Source organism: Homo sapiens, chromosome 8 (assembly GCF_000001405.40).
Source record: "Homo sapiens chromosome 8, GRCh38.p14 Primary Assembly".
NCBI lineage: Eukaryota > Metazoa > Chordata > Mammalia > Primates > Hominidae > Homo > Homo sapiens.
The window spans coordinates 68,005,174-68,027,380 of NC_000008.11; the positions used below are offsets into that span (position 1 = coordinate 68,005,174).

The window sequence follows — 22,207 nt, forward strand, 5'->3', positions numbered from 1 at the left end:
TGCTCGGGCCCAAAATGTAGGCAGCAACCTTGATTTCTCTCTTCCGCTCACAATTCACAGTCAATCCATGAACAAACCCTGCCAGCAATAACTTCATAACGTAGGCAGATTCTGACTGCTCCTCACCACCTTACCCACAGCACCATCGTCTTTCACTTGTCTTATTTCAGTGGAAACCTAGGTGGCCCCTCCATAGCCAGTTCTCCACGAAGTAGCTGGAGTGAGCTTCACACCAACTCTGCTTACAAACTTTCAATGGCTGCCCATCAGACTAAGAATAAAATGAACTCTCCACTGCCATCACCCAGGCCATCCATGACCTGCCCTCACCTAACAACCACTTCTCAAATGGCTCTTTTCCTCCCTTTTGCCACACACAGTCTCTCCTTCCTTTGGGTCGTACATACCCCTCTTTCACTCCAATTGTTGGTGCATTTGTCCACAGATCCTTCCTAGATATTCCCATGCATCGTACTCTCACTTCCTTAAAGTCTCTCCTGAAGTGATGTGTCTTCTAAGAAGCCTTTCCATTCATTTGTTTTATTTTTCTTCGTAGTATGTACCACCATCTGAACTTGCTTTGTCTATTTAGTGGTTTATTCATCTTTGGCACATCCATTCCCTAGAATGCACACTCATTGAGGGCAAGGAACTGGCCTTTCCATTGTTATTCACCTAGCGCTGAGAACAGAGCCTGTCATAGAGTGGGTTGGTTCACAGTGACTGTCTCATGCAATAAGGATATTATTCCTTTTTGTCTAATGACAAGAGGTAAAAATATACAGATAATTTCAGGACATATGCATTAGTTTCCCAGTGGGACACTTGCCCTCAGTTGATTTTGGGATATATTGTTGAATATGTGTTTTGAAATTCAATTCCTGCCATTATTCTTTGACCAAAATGTACAATTTTACAGTTGACCTGCAGAGAGCAGCTCATTAGCAGTTTGCTGGTCCCCTAAGCTCCTGTATGTTCAGCCTCCCCAACTGCCCTGGTGCAGCCCTGGCTGAGCTGGAGGGTAAGAGGAGCCTCCTCTTCCCCAGCAGGCATGGTCTGGAATTAGTTTTGCTGTCCTAAATTAGGTATCCTGGGATGAAGGGAGGCACCAGTTTCCCCGCTGAGATGCAGTATAACCTGTCTCAACAGTGTACATCCACTCTATACAATTAGATTCTATCCTCAGTCTTGATTTTTATTCCATTTTTTATTAGGCCTGGGGCTGAAACCTAAATCCCACTGCATTTGGAAGAAGTCAGTTATATCCTATTAGATGCTAACCTTTCTTCACAACCATTTTTATTCCTACTCCACCTCAAGCAGCATCCGTCAGGGTCACCTTTAGACCAGTGATCAGCTACTATATGTCATCTCCCTAGAGTGAATCCTGTCACTGTTGCCTGGAGTCTACTTGCTGAGCCACTTGGGGCCTCCAGACTACACCCCCCAATATTGGACCTAGTTCAGATTTCAATTTACCATGACCTTTTACATATTATGTGCACGTTCAAGCTTTAAGCTCTGCAAATAATTGCCCTAAACCAGATTAATTATCACACCCAGCCTAGGACAGTTTCATTTACATCCCCAAAATGTTGGTTCTTGAGGACCTAAGGTTATTCAGATCCCGTGAAACAAGAAAACTATTGATGTTAGGGGATATTTGGGATTTTGCAGTAGTTGAACAAATATGCATCTTTGTGGTTATGTAACAAAACTCATAGACAAAGCTATATAGACAGACACTATATTTTTTTGATGGTTAATTTTCATAACCCAGGTCAGAAAAAAACTTCTTAAAATATTTTTTAATTATCATAGCTTTTCTTTGTCCTGTGGAAGGAAAGTTTCCTTGTTTATTTGCAGCTAATTTGCCTCATGAATATTCAGCTGTCGATGGAGCTGCAAGCCAATATCCATAGAAATGAACTCATTAGGAGCATTTTGTTGGCAGCTATTTGATTCGTGAAGTATGTAGAAGTATTTATGATATTTCATATTTTATTTTTTCTTGATTTTTGAAACATAAAAGGATTATTGATAATAATTGTTATCCTAGGTTTTCACAGTTGAGCTTATTTAGTTTTTCTCATATTTCTTGAATTTGTAAGAAAATGCTTTCAGATATTTGACCACTTACACAGATTTTTACAAAGTAAATTATAAATAAAAAGTCATGAATGACTTAAAAGCAGTTCAAAAATGTTTTACATATTTATACATATGCAATACTTGTTCCTCCTAGTTGGTTATTGTCATTGATATAGCTTGCTATGTGGGTGATGTAAAATAGAATGGTTCTCCTTTTTGAAGGTCTTCCTTCAGAAGTTTTGCTGTTATTTAATGAAAACAGCATTGAAGAAGTATATTTGGTTATAAGAAATAGAAAAAATAGTAATAACAGCAAACGTAGACATTGACACTCGATGTACCAGTTACTTTTTTTTTATTTTTGAGACGGAGTCTCGCTTTGTCGCCCAGGCTGGAGTGCAGTGGCGCCATCTTGGCTCACTGCAAGCTCCGCCTCCTAGGTTCATACCATTCTCCTGCCTCAGCCTCCTGAGTAGCTGGGACTACAGGTGCCCGCCACCACGCCTGGCTCATTTTTTGTATTTTTAGTAGAGACGGGGTTTCACTGTGTTAGCCAAGATGGTCTCGATCTCCTGACCTCATGATCCGCCCACCTCGGCCTCCCAAAGTGCTGGGATTACAGGCATGAGCCACCGCGCCCGGCCCTCAGTTACTTCACATATATTAATTTGTTTAATGCTTATAGCAAGTCTATAGGAGTAGATACCATATTACTCTTATCTTACAAATATGGAAGCTCTGCCTCAGAGAGGTAAAGTTACTTGTATGGTCACACATCTAGTAGTTGGCAGAGTTGGGTTTCAAATCCAGGCAGAGTGGCTCCAGAAAGCTGTTCACCACTTCATGTTGCTGACTTCTGTCATATTTTGGTAAAGACTAGAAACTGGACTGCCTGTTGTCCCAAAACCTGGCATTCTTTCCCCACTGATTTGAAGTGCCACCTGTTTCAAATAGTAAATTCTAAATACTCAGGATATTTTCTGGACTGTTTCTGTGCCACTGATATATTAATACTTGTCCGTATCAGCCCAGCACTAACCGTTTTAGTTACTTTATACGAATTCCCTTTAGGAATAGAGTATGAGTCAAATGGAAAAGGAAAGGAAACAAATTGCAGACTAAGGAAGGGGTGATATGTTGAATGAAGAGGGTAAAGACAATATTTGGTCATGAGAGAAGGAGAGAATATGGTGAGTCAGAAAGGGCCATAGGATACTGACATGTATTTTAAGTCATGTGTGTTTTAAGGATGATGGTGGACAATTTTAGAAGTCAGTTTTAAAGAAAAGGTAAAGTAAGTGCCTACGTTTCTGAGGTATAAAAGTTGGAGACAAGTTAATATGGTTTGGCTGTGTCCCCACCCAAACCTCATCTTGAATTGTAGCTCACATAATCCCCATGTGTTATGGGAGGGACCTGGTGAGAGGTGATAGAATCATGGGGGCATGTCTTTTCTGTACTGTTTTTGTGATAGTGAATAAATCTCATGAGATCTGATGGTTTTATAAAGGGGAATTCCCCTGCACATGCTGTCTTGCCTGCTGCCATGTAAGATGTGTCTTTGCTTCTCCTTCGCCTTCTGCCATGATTGTGAGCCCTCCCCAGCTGTGTGGAACTGTGAATCCATTAAACCTATTTTTCTTTGTAAATTACCTTTTCTCCGGTATGTCTTTATAGCAGTATGAAAACGGACTGACATGCAAAATAAATGTGTTTAAAGAATAAAACAAGTTCATGTTAATTGAAATAAATATGAAACCAATTTATAAATCTTTCTTTTATACCTCATGGATTGCACAGTGAGTTAGATCAGAGTATGAGATGAAGGAGGGGAGTAGCCGTCGGGCAGCGACAGATCTTCAGGTTGGGATCTTCATTCATTTCTCTGGGTTTTCCAGCACTAAATACGTTTCCTTCTACACTGCTTACATTTCCTTTTCATCGGAACTGCATTCTTGAATAACGACTAAAACAGGAATAGTGTTCTGCACTTTAAATTCGGGAAATGACCAGTTTCCTGTGCCAGAGAAAAATATGTGCTTGAGAATATTATCTATACAATGTACTTTGTACTTCCCACTTACCCTTTTCTTTCATTGTGCTGTGTTGTTCAAGTGATCTGATATCAACGTAAATTCCTGACCAGCACAATATGAAGTATTATTATGTGGGAGACATAATAGTCTACTGGCATCTCTATATAAGTATTTGTATAATATTAAAAATAAGGCAATTTAATAGAGACATTAAGAAAAAAGTTGACAAATATATTCATGTAAGCTTCTGAACTGCATTTAGAAATCCGTTTTATTTCGTGTTTTTCACCAGCTGACACCATGAAACATACTTTTATATGAAATGATACCAGAAAAATGGTGGGATATTTGAAATGTCTTTCTTTGTTGTAATTCTGAACCTCATTAAAAGTTTATTTCCATCTGACATTAAGTTTGTTTACAAATATAATGACTTATGATACATAAATACATTTTAATTTAAATTTTATAAACTAGTCTTATGAATTGTTTTTGTTTAAGTGTTCCATTGGTGCTGTAAAGAGTTGGTAGCACCTAGAAGAAGGCAGCTTCCAAAGGAACAGTCTTCTTTTCTGAACCTGGCTTTTCTGTAGAGGTCTTGTCAGATCAGCCTGTCATTTTACTTCCAGCCTGTGTGCTTCTGGTCCATGCCCTGATCTTGTGACATCTCATTGAAATTAAAGCTGTGGTCTGACCAAACTTCACTTGCATTGTTCCATTTTTATTAATACCTCGTGCTCTAAGTTGTTTCAAGGATTGAGGACATAGACAACAATCCCTATTAGCACCTTAGAGTTTGATCCTCAATAAACTTTTTCTATCTTCTACTCTTTGTGAATCTCCAAATTTCTGCAATGGGTGGAAGATAAATGTATGATTAGAGAGATTGACATGTATACCAAACAACTGGGAGCTAGCCTGGGATCCTGAGCAGAAAAGATCCACTACATTGTGGAAGATCCAATAGTTAAAAAATAAACAGAATTTTTGCCTCGATACCTTGAATTATAATACTTGTTCTGATATCAAGGACTTCTCCAGAAAGTAGAGTCTGTTGGATTGATTTACTGTTAATATAGGAGCAGAGAGGAGGAGAAAGGGCCCTTAACTTACCCTTTAGTTCTGTTCTCTCTAGTGTTAATAATAATCATAACCACAGTAGAAGTAATGGGACTAGGCTGTGGATGTAGTAATAGTGGATAGTGATAATAGGCGCAGTGGCAGAAATATCAGATAACATTTACTGGGCCTTATTTGTGTGCTAGCACTTTGCAAAGGGCTTTCATTACCTGCATGTAATCTTCTCCACCTCTCTGTGAGGCACATATGATTATTAACCTGATTTAATGGGTGAGGAAACTGAGACTTAAAAGCAGCTGGCCTCTCATAAATGCTCACCACAGAGCTGAACTCCACCCTGAGGAGACATCCTGTATCTGTATGTGTTTGAGTGCGTATTTCTAGGTGTGTAGGGGAGGAAGGTGGTGGGTTAATTTTGAAGGCTTCCAAACAGCCCACTATAAACATCATACATTTCCTAATCTTCGTTCTTTTTGAAACTGATTTCTCCCTAGGGTTTGGTGTATCCCTGACCATTCAGGAAAGAGACATCAATGACCCGAAACAATACAAGGAACACAAGATCTTCATGAATCAAATGATACTTGGAATGAATACACCAATAAGAATTTATTGCCAAAAAGTTACTTTATTAAAACAAATTTTAAATAAAGAACATGGAGTTGTTTCAATCCTTGAGAAAACTAGCTGTATACATGCCTGCCAGAGCTATCTCTAACAAAAGATATCACTTCTAAGAGTAAATATCTCGCTTAATTTTAGATTCCTTGGGGAACTAAGAGTTAAGTAAAACATGCTCCAATTTTCTTAGGTTTATTTTTAAGTATTTTTGTTTTAGCTTTTTTTTTCTCTGATCATGGGAGTACATTTTCGCTCAAACACTTCAAGAACAAATGCTATTTTAAAACTTAGAACTCTGGAATGATCAGTATTAAAAAGTTGTGAGTCAAAAGGACCTTGACAAAACCTTAAGAGTGTGGCTGGAAATGGAAATGGCTACGGCTACAAAGATTCCCAAGTCAAAAAAAATGAGTAAAATGGGCTTTGTATTTAAAAAAAAACAACATTACTATTAGAATACATGGCAATTAACATTCAGCTTTGGTGTACATGATGATAGGGAGTAGTGGTGACTGTGGCAAAATGAAGGGAACATGTGGCTTCTTCAGCTCTAACTTACTGTTATTCAGGTAGATAGGCCCTGTGTTAATTTTCTCCAAGTGTTTGAAGAGAGGCTGTAATTATTGACTTTTATATGAATACTCTTATTTTTTTTAATGTTAGCAATTGAGTCAATGTTTTAACCACATAGTGTTGTGTTAAAACCTACCTCTACTGTTTTTGACCTCTGCTTTAGACCAACTCATTGCCTTAGGCCAATGGAAGCTAAATATCCTGTTAAAATAATAATTTTGTAGGCTGAGCTGTGAGATGAGTTTGTGGGAATCAAGACTGCAGAAACAAACTAGAAGTTAAATGCAACAAAAAAATTAAACATTTAAGAAATTCACAAAAACACACTTAAGAAAAGATGGCATTTATTATAGTATTTCACTGCAGTCATCTCAATAAATTTTGTAACTTTCACCTTTAATTTTAGTAATTTTACGCATAATTGTAATTCTGTCAATAATGGTCCTGATTTCTGCTTCATCTTCTGTCCAGTTTTACTCTTGACTTTCCTGTCACCCAAGTATTAAATATCTTCAAAACTCTGTGCCTTGTATGTAACATACCAATCGTATGCTGACAAATGATGAATTCTTTCCCCTGAAAATTCCTGAAGAACGCAGTTCTTTCATATTTATTTTTTGTTATTTTGAGGTCAAATAGAATACACTATAACAATGTGGTAATTATCGTCACATCTTGGTCAAGTTCCAGCCAAGGGAGGTTTTTATTTTTATTTTTTGATTTGGATGGTATAATGACAAATTATCTTCACCTAAGCTCTGAGATGATAGTGATGTTCATTTTGAATTAATAATTGGTCTGAAAAAGAGTAAAACATCTTTTGTTGGGAAATTAGGCAGATATTAAAAGACTCTCAATAACTGACACAAAAAATCCTTTTGTTTCTGAATCACAAGGAAACAGCAACAATCAAGAGGCTTTCACTGAGGATTTAGACATGCTGTTTGGGAATCACTGCAATCTCTTTAGACATTTATTTGAGTAATTCAGGTGTGGGATATTTTAATGATTTGTAGAGTGATCAATGCCCACGAGGCTGAGTCTTAGATACTACTGGACTACTAACAAATGATTTATTATTCTGTCAGTTTCTGGAGTTTTGTGTGGATTGAATGTTGTCATGGAAGTTTAGGAAAAACCACGATCTATTTCAAAGATGAAAAGATGCTGCTCATATTCTGTAGGAACAAAGTAACATCATTTTATAATTATTGTTCATTGTATCCGAGTGGGAAAGAGATTACTAAACATCCTGTGAGCACCGGACAGTCCTTCACTACAAAGGTTTATTTTAAACAAAGGTTTAATCCAGCTCCAAATGTCAATAATGTCAAGACTGATAAACCATGTCATATGGTGATAGAAGAGGAAAAGAGTATGTGCTATCCTATATTCCAAGTTGCTAATGAATATTTGGGAAGCTAATACACTAGGGAAATTAATGCAGTGCAGTCTGGTGGTCTTCATAAATGAAAACCATTGAGTTAAGAACAAAAGTCGTTAGTCTTTGCAGAAGTTTATTGAGCACTTACCAAGTGCCAGATATTGCTGTAGGTGCTGGGGATATCCCAGTGAACAAAGCAGGTAGGCTCTGCATTCATGAAGCTCCTATCCAAATGTGGGAGACGGACAGTAAACAAATAGATAAAATGATTCTGTCCTTGTGCCTTTTGTCTTCCCCATCTCTACACTGTCTCCAATGGACTGGGGCTGGTCATTTTTTCTCTATATATATGCTTTCCCTAAGTTACATCTTTGTGCCAGTGACAATCAACTTTTTACTGTAAGTCCTGATCCCTCCCTTAGAACCTCAGATTGGAATGGCTAACTCCCTGCTCATGATTTCCACACTGGTGCCCAATAGAAATCTGAGACCCAACAGGTCCAGAACAAACTCTGATTCTCCCACCCCAAAACCTTCTTCACTTTCAGTCTTCTCCATTCCAGTGATGCCACTACCAACCAGGTGTTCATGCAAACCCAAATGACAAACTTCTTTCATTTATTAGGACCAAACGAAGCCCTTATCTTCCAAAGAATTGTGATGTGATATTATTGTTTTAAGTTAAAGGGTAAAAGGAAAATATTTACCCTTATTGTTTTTTTCTCATTTATTTTCATGAAATTAGCACAGTCTTTTTTCCTGCAACAGTGGAGTCTGTCTTAAATTTTTCCTATTTTGCCTTTATATATACAATTTACCTATCTGTAACCATATTAAATAGCCAAATCTTTAAGGTGACAGGGTGCTGCTAAATAGTCTACTTTCAGAATTTTGAATGTAGAATATTTGTTGGAGTAATAAGGTTTAGTGCTGTATGATACAAAATTCAGATTGGCATCGGGTATCTAGAATTAAAAGTATAAATTGTTAAAATCTGCCGGACTTTTGAGAACGATCTACTATGTGTGCCTGGACTGATGAAAAGAGTGGGAAGGGCAAAAATATGTTGAAAGAGATCATTTTGTATGTTGAAATTATAAAATAAGAAAATGCATTCTGAGAATGAAGCCCATGGTGAGCTTTGCTTTACTTTTGAACTAGCAACAGCATAAATGGGCAGACACGGATAAAGGAGATTGCTGTCATCTTATTTCATCTTAATGAGTTTCTTCCTTTTGATTCTTGATAGCAAATTTGTGACATTTTTAGCTTTATTAAACTTTAATTAGTGGATAATATTTATCATATGCATTTACCAAAAATACAAGATAATATGGAGCAAGTTAAAGAGAAAATAAAGAGTACTCTGGGAAAAAGCCCATAACTAGAGTGATATCTAGGAATATTTTTTGTGGAGCCATTGTTAGGGGAATGCTGGTGAGTGGAGCACATGTTCACACACATGCAAGCTGAAAGATCCTCGGGGTGCGGGGGGGGCGGCATATGTGAGAGCCTCACTTCCTCTGAATGCAACTTAGCCTGTCTTTGACTCACCTGTGTAGTGTCTGCATCTCCCTACCCTTCAGAGATTATTGTGACCTGTTATATGCAGCTTTGATTGTGATTTTCATGGGTGGGAGGCACGTCCTCTGCGGGGTGCCAGCATCCCCAAGTGGTTGGGTGAGAGGGTGTTGTATAGAAACAACCACTGTTTAACACTGAATTGAAAGTCAAAGTGAAATAAGTAAACTCGATTTTCCTGTTAAGACTCATTTATTTCTCAAAGTCTGCTTTTTGTTTTAGTCTTTGAAAGAATAAACATAAAGAATTGTTCATCAGAAGATGATCTCTGGACCAACTACATCAGAATCGCATAGAGGTCCTGCTCAAAATGTAGATTTCTGGGTCCTAAATTAATCTGCTGAGTCAGACCTCTGGGGATAGGAATCTGCATTTGGAAGTAACTCTCCAAGTCTTAAACACAAGAAAAAGTTTGAAACCCACTAGCATAAAAAAGCTATTTTCCACTGCTTGATTTCAAATATATGTGTGTCAAGATGAAGATTATCTGATTCTGATGAAATTTTGGACAAGTGGGAATGAATACAGAGATAAAACAATGTGTAGAATCCTTCATGTATTTTTGTGACTAGGCTACTAATGCTTCCTTGATTGATATAAGAAGGATTAAATATGACAACAGAGTCTGAAAGGACACTATAGATGCTGGTTGTTAAAGGATGATTTTGAAATTACCTATTTATTCCTAGCTTTAGGAAGGAAGATTTAAACCTCTCATAAAAAATGTCAAATCGTTTTCACGATTTTGCGTTCTCAGCAAACATCTAAAATCTGCCTTCACTGTTGTATAAAATGAGGACCTTGGGAAAAAGAAATGCTTGGTCAGAAATGCTAACAAGTTCCAGATTTCCTTTCATATACAATTAAACAAAAAGTTCCATATTGTCACGGAGGATAAGAAGATAAAAAGTCAGATAAAGACATGGTTTACTTTCTTAGTTTGTATGTTCCATTCTAACTCATATTTTGATGCATTGTTACTACTTCCTCACTTTAATTTATCCATTTCAGAATGTGACTGAGTTCAGTTTATGAAGAAAAGGTTTATAAATGTAGAGGTGAAGTTTAAGCTTTGCTTGCACGAGAGGTTACCTGTTTACTATGTGGTCAATATGAAATGTAAACTATGTAAACTAGGCAAATAAACCACCATGTTATTTTAAGAGCAAATGGAATGAGATTAAAGAACATTTTTGCGATGAGTATGTGGAAAATATTCAAGAAAAACAAAACTAAAGCAAAAAATTAAACAGAATAATACTAATAAATTGAGTACTTAAAAAGTTAGAAAATTCTAATTTTTTTCACCAATTATCCTTAACTTTAGATAAGAGTTCAAAAATTATATCACTTGTTCCCAATAGACAAATTAGATTGATATCCAATACATGTTCATTTTATTTATTTCAGCTGATGTTGAAGAGTTGAGGCTATTCCTTCTGATCTGACATTGTAGTTACAGAATCTGAAACATGAACTGGTTGAATCAGGAATAAATGTGGTTCTGAAGGTCATGCTAGGAGCGAGATCTTGTGGCTCATTAGTTTTATTTTAAATAGTCTTGTTCCTCTTTTGATATAAGTTATAACATGCTTATAGCTAAATATTACAAAAATTAGAAAGTGTACAAAGGTCAATTTCCTATTACCTAAAAGGAACTACCCATTGCGTTTTGGTAAATGCCGCCTACTTTTTTTTCAACATTAGCACACACCAATATTATCCATTTGTATATCTGTATATATTCTTATGCATCTGCATATATGTATGTATGTAGCAAATATGCCACTTAATAAATTTTTTCACCAGACAGTATTTTATAGACATCTCGTATACACATGTATGTGTATATATAGTTTTCATTACATTCCATTTATGGTTGCACTTTTGCTATAGTAGTCTATAATTTGAATATATCATAATATGCTTAGTGATTCTTTTATTGATGGTCATTTAGATTGTTTCCAATTTTTCCATTTTGGTAATCAATACAATGAATCCCCTTGTTTGAATATTTTTCTTAGAATAAAGTCCTAGAAGTAGTATCTCTGGGTTCAAGAAAATGCCCATTTATTTTTATTTTTATCTTTTGAGATAGGATCTTACTCTGTCACCCAGACTGGAGTATAGTGGTGCGTGTGACTATGGCTCCCTGCAGCCTCAAACTTCTGGGCTCAAGTGATCCTCCCACCTCAGCCTCTTAAGTAACTAGGAGTACAGGTGTGTGCCACCACGCCCAGCAAACTTTAAAAATCTTTGTAAAGACAAGGTCTTGCTATGTTGCCGAGGCTGACCTCAAACTCCTGGCCTTAAGGGATCCTGCCTGGGACTCCCAAAGCGCTAGGAGTATAGACATGAGCCACCATACTGGCTGGAAATACCCATTTAAAAATTTGAGATATATTGTCAATTTGCCCTCTGAAATGTTGTACCATTTTATACTCTTATTAGCCATGTCCTGAGGGTGATAATGGATGGTGTCTTGAGGACATAAATGAAATTTGCTAGATGGAAATTCTCTTCTCCTTTTTCTCCCCTAAACTTTCTTTTTCAAGGCTCAATATAATGAAATTATTCTACTCTTTTTTAATTTGTGAAAATAATAGCCTGTTTAGCCATTGGTCAAAACTTAATGACCACTGAGAAGAGTCCAAATCTTTGAATTACTAAAGGGCTTATTTGCCTACCATAGAGGTATGGAGAGCCCGGACCTGAACCCAGAAATTTAAATTCTGGCTTCTTAAAAGGCTGGGGGTGGGCAATAGAGGGGAAAGGAAATTCTTTCATTCCTTCTTGAAATGTCTTCCTGGGACATAGTGGCAGGGATAGCTATCTATCTATCTATCTATCATCTATTTTATCAATCACTCAACCTACCTACCTATCTTCTATCTATTTATCTATCTCTAATTTCGAAGAGGATCACTTCAGAATCTCTGGCCCTTTTGTTGTTTTATTAGAAATGCCATTTTCCATTAAATTTTGGTCTTGTGCTTTGCAAGTCTTAGAAGTTTAGGAAACATCTGACTCTAAATGCTTACTTCACAACTTTGAGATCCTGGTGGATAAATTTAACTTACATATACTTGATGATTTCTGGCTCTACCCCAACATGGTAATGGAAGTATAATTCCCAGAGAGGAACAGCAATGCACAAGGGTTTCTGTGTTACAACAAAACTATTATACTCAACAAATGGAGTTTTACACTTTGGTTTGTTGTAAAGAAATTAGTTTAATTCTACTCAACACCCAGTCATTTTATTAACCTAATGTTACCTTCATAATGTCTTCTTGTTTCATGCAGGCATTCTTACACAGAATGAACCAGTGTGCAGCATCAAAAGTTGACAAAAATGTGACAGAAGAAACAGTGAAGGTGAGGAGGTACAACTGGCCTTCAACCTGAGCATGAGTTTCCTATAGATAAATTTTGCTGGTGCCATGGTACTTCACAGCCCTTCAGTTGATCGGCAGTTCCACTACAAGTTGCTGTTCCAGTCAGTTGTATTGGTAATAATTTTAAAAAGGAGAAATAGGGCTTAGGAAAAGAGATGGAAGATTAAGAGAATGGCAGAGAAGTCATAGAGTTGTTTTTTTTTTCAACCAAGGCCTTGGGAACATTTGAACAGAGGAAGAAAAATAAATTGGAGGTGTGGTGGCTTATGCCTGTAATCCCAGCACTTTGGGAGGCCGAGGTGGGAGGATCACCCAAGGTCAGGAGTTCGAGACCAGCCTGACCAACATGGAGAAACCCCGTCTCTACTAAAAATACAAAATTAGCCAGCCATGGTAGCACATGCGTGTAATCCTAGCTACTCTCGAGGCTGAGGCAGGAGAATTGCTTGAACCCAGGAAGCAGAGGTGTTGGTGAGCTGAGATGGCGCCATTGCACTCCAGCCTGGGCAACAGGAGTGAGACTCTGTCTCAAAATAAATAAATAAATAAATAAAATGAATTGGAGGCTAAGAACCTCAATGTTTTGGAGAAGGAGGGAGCTGAGCCGTATAAGAGGATTGTTAGAGGTGGCTCAGGAAGGCAGGGTGTGGGCAAACGTGACTTCCAGTCTCTGTGATCACTGAAGAACCAAATATTTCAATGGTTCACTCCACATAATATCCTTAATTCAGAAACAGACATATAATCGTTTCTTTTAAACTGAAAGGAAGGAAAACTGTGAACAGTCTTGAAAAAAAAGGATGGTAAATGAAAATTAATTATACTATAATGATTAGTCATTTAAATTGTATGTACTATTCCTGATATTTATGATGCTAACTTACTGTTTTATTTTGCTGGAAATATAAAACATTCTAAGGATTTTTAAAGGTTCTTCTGACTCTATTTCCCCATGAGTAAAATAACTAACTTTAAAATTTTCCTCCCAGGAGAGTATTTTAGTTAGCTTGCTTTTGGTTGTAAGCTAAAGAATCCTCTTACTGAAATTGAATTGAAGACACTTTGGCTCACATATCAGGGACTCCAGACAGAGGAGAAGGTTTAGCACCTGTGACCCAGAGAGGCCAGCAAGGTCGCTACATCCTCTCCAGCTAATCACTGCCATCCAGGTTATCAGCTTTGTGCTCAAGCTGGCTCTTCCTGTAGCTGCAGAGCTGTCCCAGCTTTTACTTCTACATGTGGCACCTTCCAGAGGGAAAAGAGGACTGTCCGTTCTGGTATGCCCTTCTTAGGAGCATAGATGCCCTTTCCAGAAAAGCCTGCCAGCAACTCTGCTGGTTTCCATGCAGCCCAGCTTTGAGAAGGGAGTGGGATACCTGGCTTGGGTTGGGCAACCGAGGCCTTGCCCTGAGAGCCAGCCATGGGCTTCTGGTTCCCAGAGTTGTGTCGGCGGCGTGAAGGGGAAGTCCAGACAAAATTGAGGCTCTGTCGGCAAGGTGGGAGGAAGGCATGGATGTATGGTTTTCAGGTTGGAGAGAGAATACTATGCTATCATAGACTTAAAAAAATTGCTTCACTACTGAGCTTACTTACACATTTGTTTATTTACAGATGTTGTTCTCAAACATTGAAGACATCCTTGCAGTACATAAAGAATTCTTAAAAGTCGTGGAAGAATGCTTACACCCCGAACCTAATGCTCAACAAGAAGTGGGAACCTGCTTTCTTCACTTTGTAGGATAAATTTCTTTTTATTTTAAAAGTTCTTTTCCCCTAGATTTTGAGATTTAGCTCTTGGCATAGTGGTATGTGTGAATTCAGTATTAGAAGTAAAATCTGACACCAAAAGTTTAAGGTCTTTTAAGGCCAATGAGATCTTCCACTTAGAGCCAGAAAAGGGGAGAGTGCCTCACATCATCCATTTTACTGAAGAATAAACAGCCTTTTCTTTTCCCCGACAAGTTAGTTCTTCGCATCCTCTGTAGCTTTGAATTCTAATGAATATTCAGGCTGTTCATAATGAATGAATTTTTATGTTTCTCTCAAACATAGAGCATTTTTCTTTTGAGACAGAAAATCCTCATTCCTATAATGGCACGATGAGCCTTTTATTAGTCAGAATGTTCCCTTGTTAATCAACTTGTGACAAACCTGGAGTTGAATAAACCCAGTAGCAGGAATTTTCCCCAAGGATGGTTTCTCAGAAGATTGTACTGAGCAGTGCAGATGCAATAACCAGCCAGTACTCAGTTGTTTCAAATTACACATCCTGTGCCTGTATGATCATTTTCATCTCTTTATAAATGATGCCCGAAATTATTTATGCAATTAATTTGCAAAATAAAAAGACAACTGTGTAATGAAAATTGTTTTCAGAACTAAAGGGCATTCACACCAAAAAAAAAAAAAAAAAAAAGTATGCTGCTACGTATACCGTTACGCTGATGCTAATTTTGAGAATACCAGTATGAATCCATGTATTTATCAAAATGCTAGACAATTAATGTTTTGTTTAAAAATGTGTAAGCGTATTTAGTGATAGAAATAAAATTTTGTATATTTTTAATTTTCCATCTAGTCTTTTAGAAAGGTTTTGATAGTAGTTTCAAAATCTGTCTTTATGTAGTGAGCAGACTCTGTGTTCTTTTTATAGTCAGAAAATATTTCAAAAAATAATTATATTAAAAGGAGAGTCTCATTGGGTATAGGAAGATCAAGCTGTGTTTTTCTTGGGCACAGCTGGAAGCCACGGGTGTTTGTGTCCACTCACTTAAGCCTGCTTTATTTCACGAAAGAATCAAAAGGATCAGAATCTTCTGCCAGCTGGAGTAGTTGCTATCTCAGTCCAGGGCTGTGCCTGGGAATCTTGCACCCTGACATCCATTTCCTTAGTAACACCTTATGAATCTGTCATCCCTGAATTTAGCTAAACTATTTCTGAAGTTTATTTTTTTTCTGGCTCATATCATTTCTTGAGATAAGTGATTCAATACATTTTCTGCTGGTTATATAAAGTAGCACTTAATGTTTCTAAATGCATGCCTTCAAAATTTCAATGGGCGCACTTTTGTTCTAACATTTGATCAGTAAATTTTTTGTGTCTTTCTTTTATTGGTACTCTTTTGGTGATAAGGCACTTTGAGAAAATCTTACAAATAGAAGGGAGCTTAGAGATCATGATGGTACAAATCCTCTTGTTTTAAAAGAATATCTCCTATTTATCTATGAAGGCTGTTTATTTTGTTCCTACTTTAGTGACAGCTCTAACTGTTAGAAAATCTCTGTGTTGATCCCAAATCTGCCCATCACTGCCCTTGCGACATCCACCACTGCCTTGCGACATCACCTAAAGATCCTAGTTTTATATTTGGAGCTACATAGGACTGTCAGTCCTTTACAACATAACGCTGTTTGAAAGTATTCATGATTTCCTGACTTTTCTATACCTACAAATATGACTCTCTGAAACAACCTCTCAGATGTGGTGTCCTCAGGGTCTCTCATTCTCTTAGTTGCTTGTTGCTAGATATTCTTCAGGTTGTCAGTGTCTCTCTTAAGCACAACTGTCTAGACTGGTGTATATGAACTGCAGGGTCCTGTGTTTCTCTATTTCTATATGATCTGGCACTTCCTTTTGCCTTCATCTAAATGACTTTATTCCGTCTCCCTGCCTAGGAATCATGGATTCATATACCTGGACCTTGCTCAGATTGATTGATCTTTCTTCTACATACATTCCTTATTCAGTTTTCATAAATAACAGCAAGAATATGTATGTAATTTCTTCCTCTTTTTAAGCTGTAACTGAATCCTCATGGCAAAGCTCAGCCCTCTCTTTTCTGTGCTTTGCCACCCTTTGGTTCATTTGTCTACTTGAATTCATCACAATGGAGTATAACTGATATACGTCTATCTCCCTTTTTAGGCTGTTCTTCATGGGCCAGGGAAAATAAACAAAATTTATATATAGCTGTATACACGCAGTATAGCTCTTAAAACGTAGTAAACACTCAGTGAAGTTTCTTTAAGCATATCACATAGGTTAAAATTGCAGAATGGTGAATAAAATGACTAATTTATTCTTACATGAATTCACAGAAAGACAAGTTTCGTATCTATGATGAATATTGTAGTAACCATGAGAAGGCACAAAAATTACTTCTTGAACTCAACAAAATAAGAACAATCCGGACATTTCTTTTGGTAAGTGTATATTTATGTGTTACTGTATGTTGATATGTGTTGCTAGATCCAGTGAGAGCCAAGGAATAGCATCAATATGGAGTAAAAATCTGTGGGATACCTCTGTTAGCATCCCCAGGCGAGGAAGCAAGAGTCCTTTGATGAAAATAAAAGTGAGAGCTGGGATCAGCTTGTGTTTGGGGAAGTACTGCTAATGCCCCCTCGTGGTTGATTATGAATTATCTGTGAGACCCCACAGGTTCCTAGCGAGAGAGGAGCTTCTGCCAGAGTTCATCACTGCTTTATAGCCCCAGTTCCCTAGGGTGTCCTTTACTTCTGCTGACAGAGCTGTAAGTAGGGCAGTAACAGGAAGGAAGAAAATCGTGGATATGGTAGAAAATAAGTGTAAAATTTAACATTTCTCCTACATACATTTCTTATTTTGTTTTCATAAAAACAACAAGAATATGTGTTTAATTTCTTTAGGTTAGCAGAAACAAATGCATATTTTGGCTGTCACGGGCAAACTAATCGCTAGTGAGGAGCAGATTATAATTGTGCGATTCAGTGATATTTAGCAGAGTGTGGAGTTGCACAGCCATCCCCCAAATTCATTTTTAGATCATTTTTGTCACCTCAGAAAGACCTTCATGTCCCTTTACAGCCTATCTCTGTACCCACCGTTAGCACCAGGCATACACTGATTTGTTTTCATCTCTATAGATTGCCTTTTCTGGATATTTTATAGAAGTGGACTCATACAATGCAATCTTTTGTGCCTGACTTCTTTAACTTAGTAAAATGTTTTCGAAGTTCATTCTTGCTATAGAATGTATCCATTTTCTTTCATTTTAATTGCAAAATACTGTTCCATTGTATGGATATGCTGTATTTTGTTTATCTATTTGCCAGTTAGTGAAAATTGGGTCTGGTTCCAGTTTGGGCTCCTATAAATAATGCTGTTATCAGCATTTATGTTCAAGTCTTTGAATGGACCTAATGTTTTTATTCTTTTGGGTAGACATTAAACGTGGAATTGATGCCTGTGTTGTATGATAAGCTCATATTTAACTAATTAAGAAACTGCCAAACTATTTGTCACTGTGGCTGTGCCATATTTACTGGCAATGCATGAGGATTCCAGTTTCTCTATATCTTTGCCAACACTTGGCATTTTCAGTTTTTCTGATTATAGCCATGCTAGTGGGTGTGTAGTGCTATCTCATGGTGGTTTAAATTTGTATTTTGCCAGTGACTAATTACATTAAGCATGCTTTCATGTGCTTATTAACTCTTCATGTCTCCTTTAGTGAAATGTTTATTCAAATCTTTTACCCATTTAAAAATTGGGATGTTTATTGTATATTGAGCTGTAAATGTTTGTTATTTCAGATATAAGTCCTATATCAGGTATACAATATGCAAATATTTCCTCTCAGTGTTGTTTGTCTGTTCATTTTTAAAGTATCATCTTTTAAAATCAGAAGTTTTAAATTTTGATGAAGTCTAATTTATTACATTTTTCTCTGTTATGACCGTGTTTTTTTGGTCATATATAAGAAATCTGTATTCAGGTCTTGTACTTACTTTTTATTCCTTTGTTTTCCCACTTTTGATGCTATTGTGATTGAAATTATCTTATGGCATTTTAAAATTGTTCATTGCTAATATATGGAAATTTAACTGGCTTTTGTTTATTGATCTTGTGTCCTGTGATCTAAATTTATGTATTTGGTAAGTAGTTCTTTTGTAGCTTCTTAGGGTATTTTGCATATAGGATCAATTATCTGATAATAAAGATGATTTTACTTCTTCTTTTCCATTGTGGATAACTTATTTTTTTTCTTGCCTTATTGCACTGGCTAGAACCTTCAGTATAGTGTTGAATAAAAGTGGTAAGAGTGGGCACACCTGCCGTGTTTCTGATCTCAGTAGGAAAACATTTAGTCCTTCCGCATTAAGTATGATGTTTGCTATTGATTTTTTTAGTAGATGTTCTTTCTTATGTTTAGTAACTTATTATATTTCTAGTTCATATGATATGATGTGAATAATATTCATATATATTGACAATGCTATGAATTACATGCATTGACAATGCTATGAATTACTATTCATATTATTCATATTGTTTAATGATTCAATTATTGAGAATGAGATATTGAAATCTCCATGTATAATTAAATTATCTATTTTACCCTTTAACTCTGTCCATTTTTGTTTGCTGTATTTTGGGACTCTGTTAGATATGCACGCATTCATAATTGTTAGATTCATATTTCTGTTTATCATCATGAAATGGTCTTCTTTGTCCTTGTGGCATTTCTTTTGTTAAAGTCTATTTTTCCTAATAATATTATAGCTATGATAGCTCTCTTACTATTTGTATATCTTTTTCTGTCATTTTACTTACAAGCTATTTATGATCTTTAAAATGTCTCTAGAAGATGGCATATTGTTGGGTCTACTTTTTGTCCAGTCTGACAGTCTCTGGGGTCCTCAGTTTGTTTGTTTTTAATGTAATTATTGATATGATGGTATTTACATGTGCCATTTTATTACTTTTTCCTACATGTCTTTTTTGTTTGTTTCTCTGTTCCTGTTTTACCACCTACTTTTGTGTCAATCAAGCATTTTTTATGTACCATTTTGATTCCTCTCAATTTTTAAACTATATCATTAGGAGTGTTTTTGGTGATTGCTCTAGGAACTACAATATGCATCTTAACATATCAAATCCATATTAGGTTAATGCTGACCTAATTCCAGTTAAAAGTAGGGGACATTTGGCTATAATATTTCCTGAGTAGAAATGGAAAATGTTCCATTTCATCTCTCCTCTACTGTGCTATTATTGCCATATATATTACATTATATATGTTATAAACTTCACAACACAGTGTTACAATTATTGCTTTCTATATTTTTCTACAGTCTTTTATAGTTATGTACACATTTACCATCTCTGGTGCTCTTATTTCTTCCTGTGTATTTGACTCTGATATTAGGTTTTTCAGCCCTTAGTACTTCTTCTTCTTGTAAGTCAGTTCTACTAGCAATAACTTTGCTCAGTCTTTTTTTTTATTTTTTTTAAATCTGCGAATGTCTTTATTTTGCCTTCATTTTTGAAGGATAGTTTTACTTGGACATAGAACTTTTTGACTGGTAGATTTTTTTCTCAGTCAGCGCTTTGAATATGTCATTCTACTACCTTATGGCTTCCATTGTTTCTGATGATAAGGCATCTGCTATAATTGTATGGTTGTTATACTTTATATGATGGGTCATTTTTCTCTTTTTTGCTGCTTTCTAGATTTTCTCTTTGTGTTTTTCTTTCAGTAGTTCAATGATGTGTTTATGTGTGGGGATGATTGTACATTTCTTATTTATAGTTGAGCTGTTTGAATCTATAGATTAATTTTTCATCAAATCTGGGAAGTTTTTAGCCATTATTTTAGAAATATTTATCTGACCCTTTGTTTTCTTCTTCAGTGACCCCAAGTTACACACATATTGGTAAGCTTAATGTTTCCTCTTGGTTCCTGATGTGCTTTCATTTTTCTACAATCTCCTGGGCTCAAGCGATCCTCTTACCTCAGCCTCCCAAAGTGCTGAGACTACAGGTGTGAGCCACTGTGCCTGGTCAGGAAACATATTCTTCATGTATGTATAAGGAGCTGGCTCTCGTCAGCCAGTCTAAAGTGGTAGCCAACCTGTGGTATTATGAATTGAGTTCGCAATCTATACAGTACTAATACACAAGGCAATAAAAGTGGGCTAGACAGCCCTGAGTGATTTTAGGACACTTCAGTCCAGAGGTAGGTGAGGGGATGGCTGCTTTACAGAGATGCTAACATACTGGAATGGAAATATCACTGGAAATATAATGAGATGTAGATAGTTGTGTTTCATAGGATTCCTCTGGGGGAAAATACCATATATAGTTTGAAAGAATATTTTGATAACCCGATTGCAGTAGGGAGTGAAACCCCCAAAGAGCATGCTTGCGTAAGAGCATGCATTTGCTGCTATGCTTTCTGAGGTGTCTGGGTGAAGTTACATTCAGAGTGCTGATTTTGCTGACTTTGCTGACTTGGACACACATATTGAGGCTGATATGCAGTTGCTCAGGACAGCAGAAAATTGTTCTGCTACTATCAGTCTTCCTTTTGCATCCTTTACTGATCAACACTCAGCCTCTCCTCTCAGTGAACCTGAAACAGTATTTTAAAAATTGTAGTATGAAAGTTGCTAACTTAGTTTGATATTTGAGGGGCTCTCTCTTCCCTCTGTTAGATATTTATTAAATAGTTTGTCTGTTGTAGGCACTGCAGAAAGAAGGTTTGGGCAAGTTTCAAGTCTGTTTCATTGCATGTTGTTTATGAAGGTAAAGGCTTTTTTTTTATCAGAGTCAGTTTTCTCTTGACCACCACTTTATCATCAATGAAAGCTGCTTCAGTTTCACCCCACTCTGATTCCTGATTTTGAGATTTCCTCATTCATCTTGCCTCTGTGGAAATCCTATCTGACCTCCTTCTCTGACACTGGCTTTCCAGTGTCTGGTGCAGTGTGATAGCAAAAAAGCGACTCAGAGATCACTTGCTTAAAACCTGTCCTATTTATGGAGAGGAAAACTAGAATTCTGAAATCAACCCAAGTTGTATCACTTGTCAGTTGCAGAGCCTGAGTTAGAACCCAACTGTCTTGATACTTGCCCTTCTACAACATAATATACCTTTCTTTATAAGCAAAATCAATCTATCTATTTATGTGTCAACCATCTGTTTATCCACCACTTATCCATCCATTAATCCATCCATTCATTCATCTCTCCATCTCTTTCCCATCTCTTTTTCCTCAGACTTCATACTCAGGAGAATATAGGTGCATTAATTTTTAAGATACAGATTCAAAACACAGTTCTGTAACTAGTGTTTCTCTTTGTCTCTCTGTGAGTGTTTGTGACTGAATATGCTCTTCTTAGAGAAAGAAAGTATATGAAGACATATGCTTTCACTAGTTTTTAGCATTTTATGGTGGAAGAAAGTTTCACAGCGTGAGATTATTAAAGATGTAATTAATTTTGATTATTTTCACCCCAGAACTGCATGCTGCTTGGAGGACGGAAGAACACAGATGTTCCCTTGGAAGGATATTTAGTAACACCAATACAAAGAATATGCAAGTACCCTCTTATTTTGAAGGTATTTTATGTGCTACCTCATTGTAGCCATTTTCTTGTATCTACATATTTTGCTGAT

General features: G+C 36.7%; 1 protein-coding gene across 4 annotated transcripts in view; it reads left to right on the forward strand.

Moving 5' to 3' along the window:
• PREX2 (phosphatidylinositol-3,4,5-trisphosphate dependent Rac exchange factor 2) overlaps nucleotides 1-22,207 on the forward strand; it is a 284,987-nt gene that overhangs the window by 53,128 nt on the left and 209,652 nt on the right. For all 4 annotated transcript variants that reach the window (NM_024870.4, XM_047422268.1, NM_025170.6 and 1 more), the window contains exons 2-5: nucleotides 12,673-12,744; nucleotides 14,376-14,498; nucleotides 16,863-16,967; nucleotides 22,049-22,150. In NM_024870.4, coding sequence (NP_079146.2) covers nucleotides 12,673-12,744; nucleotides 14,376-14,498; nucleotides 16,863-16,967; nucleotides 22,049-22,150 — 402 coding nt within the window. The remainder of the gene's footprint in view (nucleotides 1-12,672; nucleotides 12,745-14,375; nucleotides 14,499-16,862; nucleotides 16,968-22,048; nucleotides 22,151-22,207) is intronic.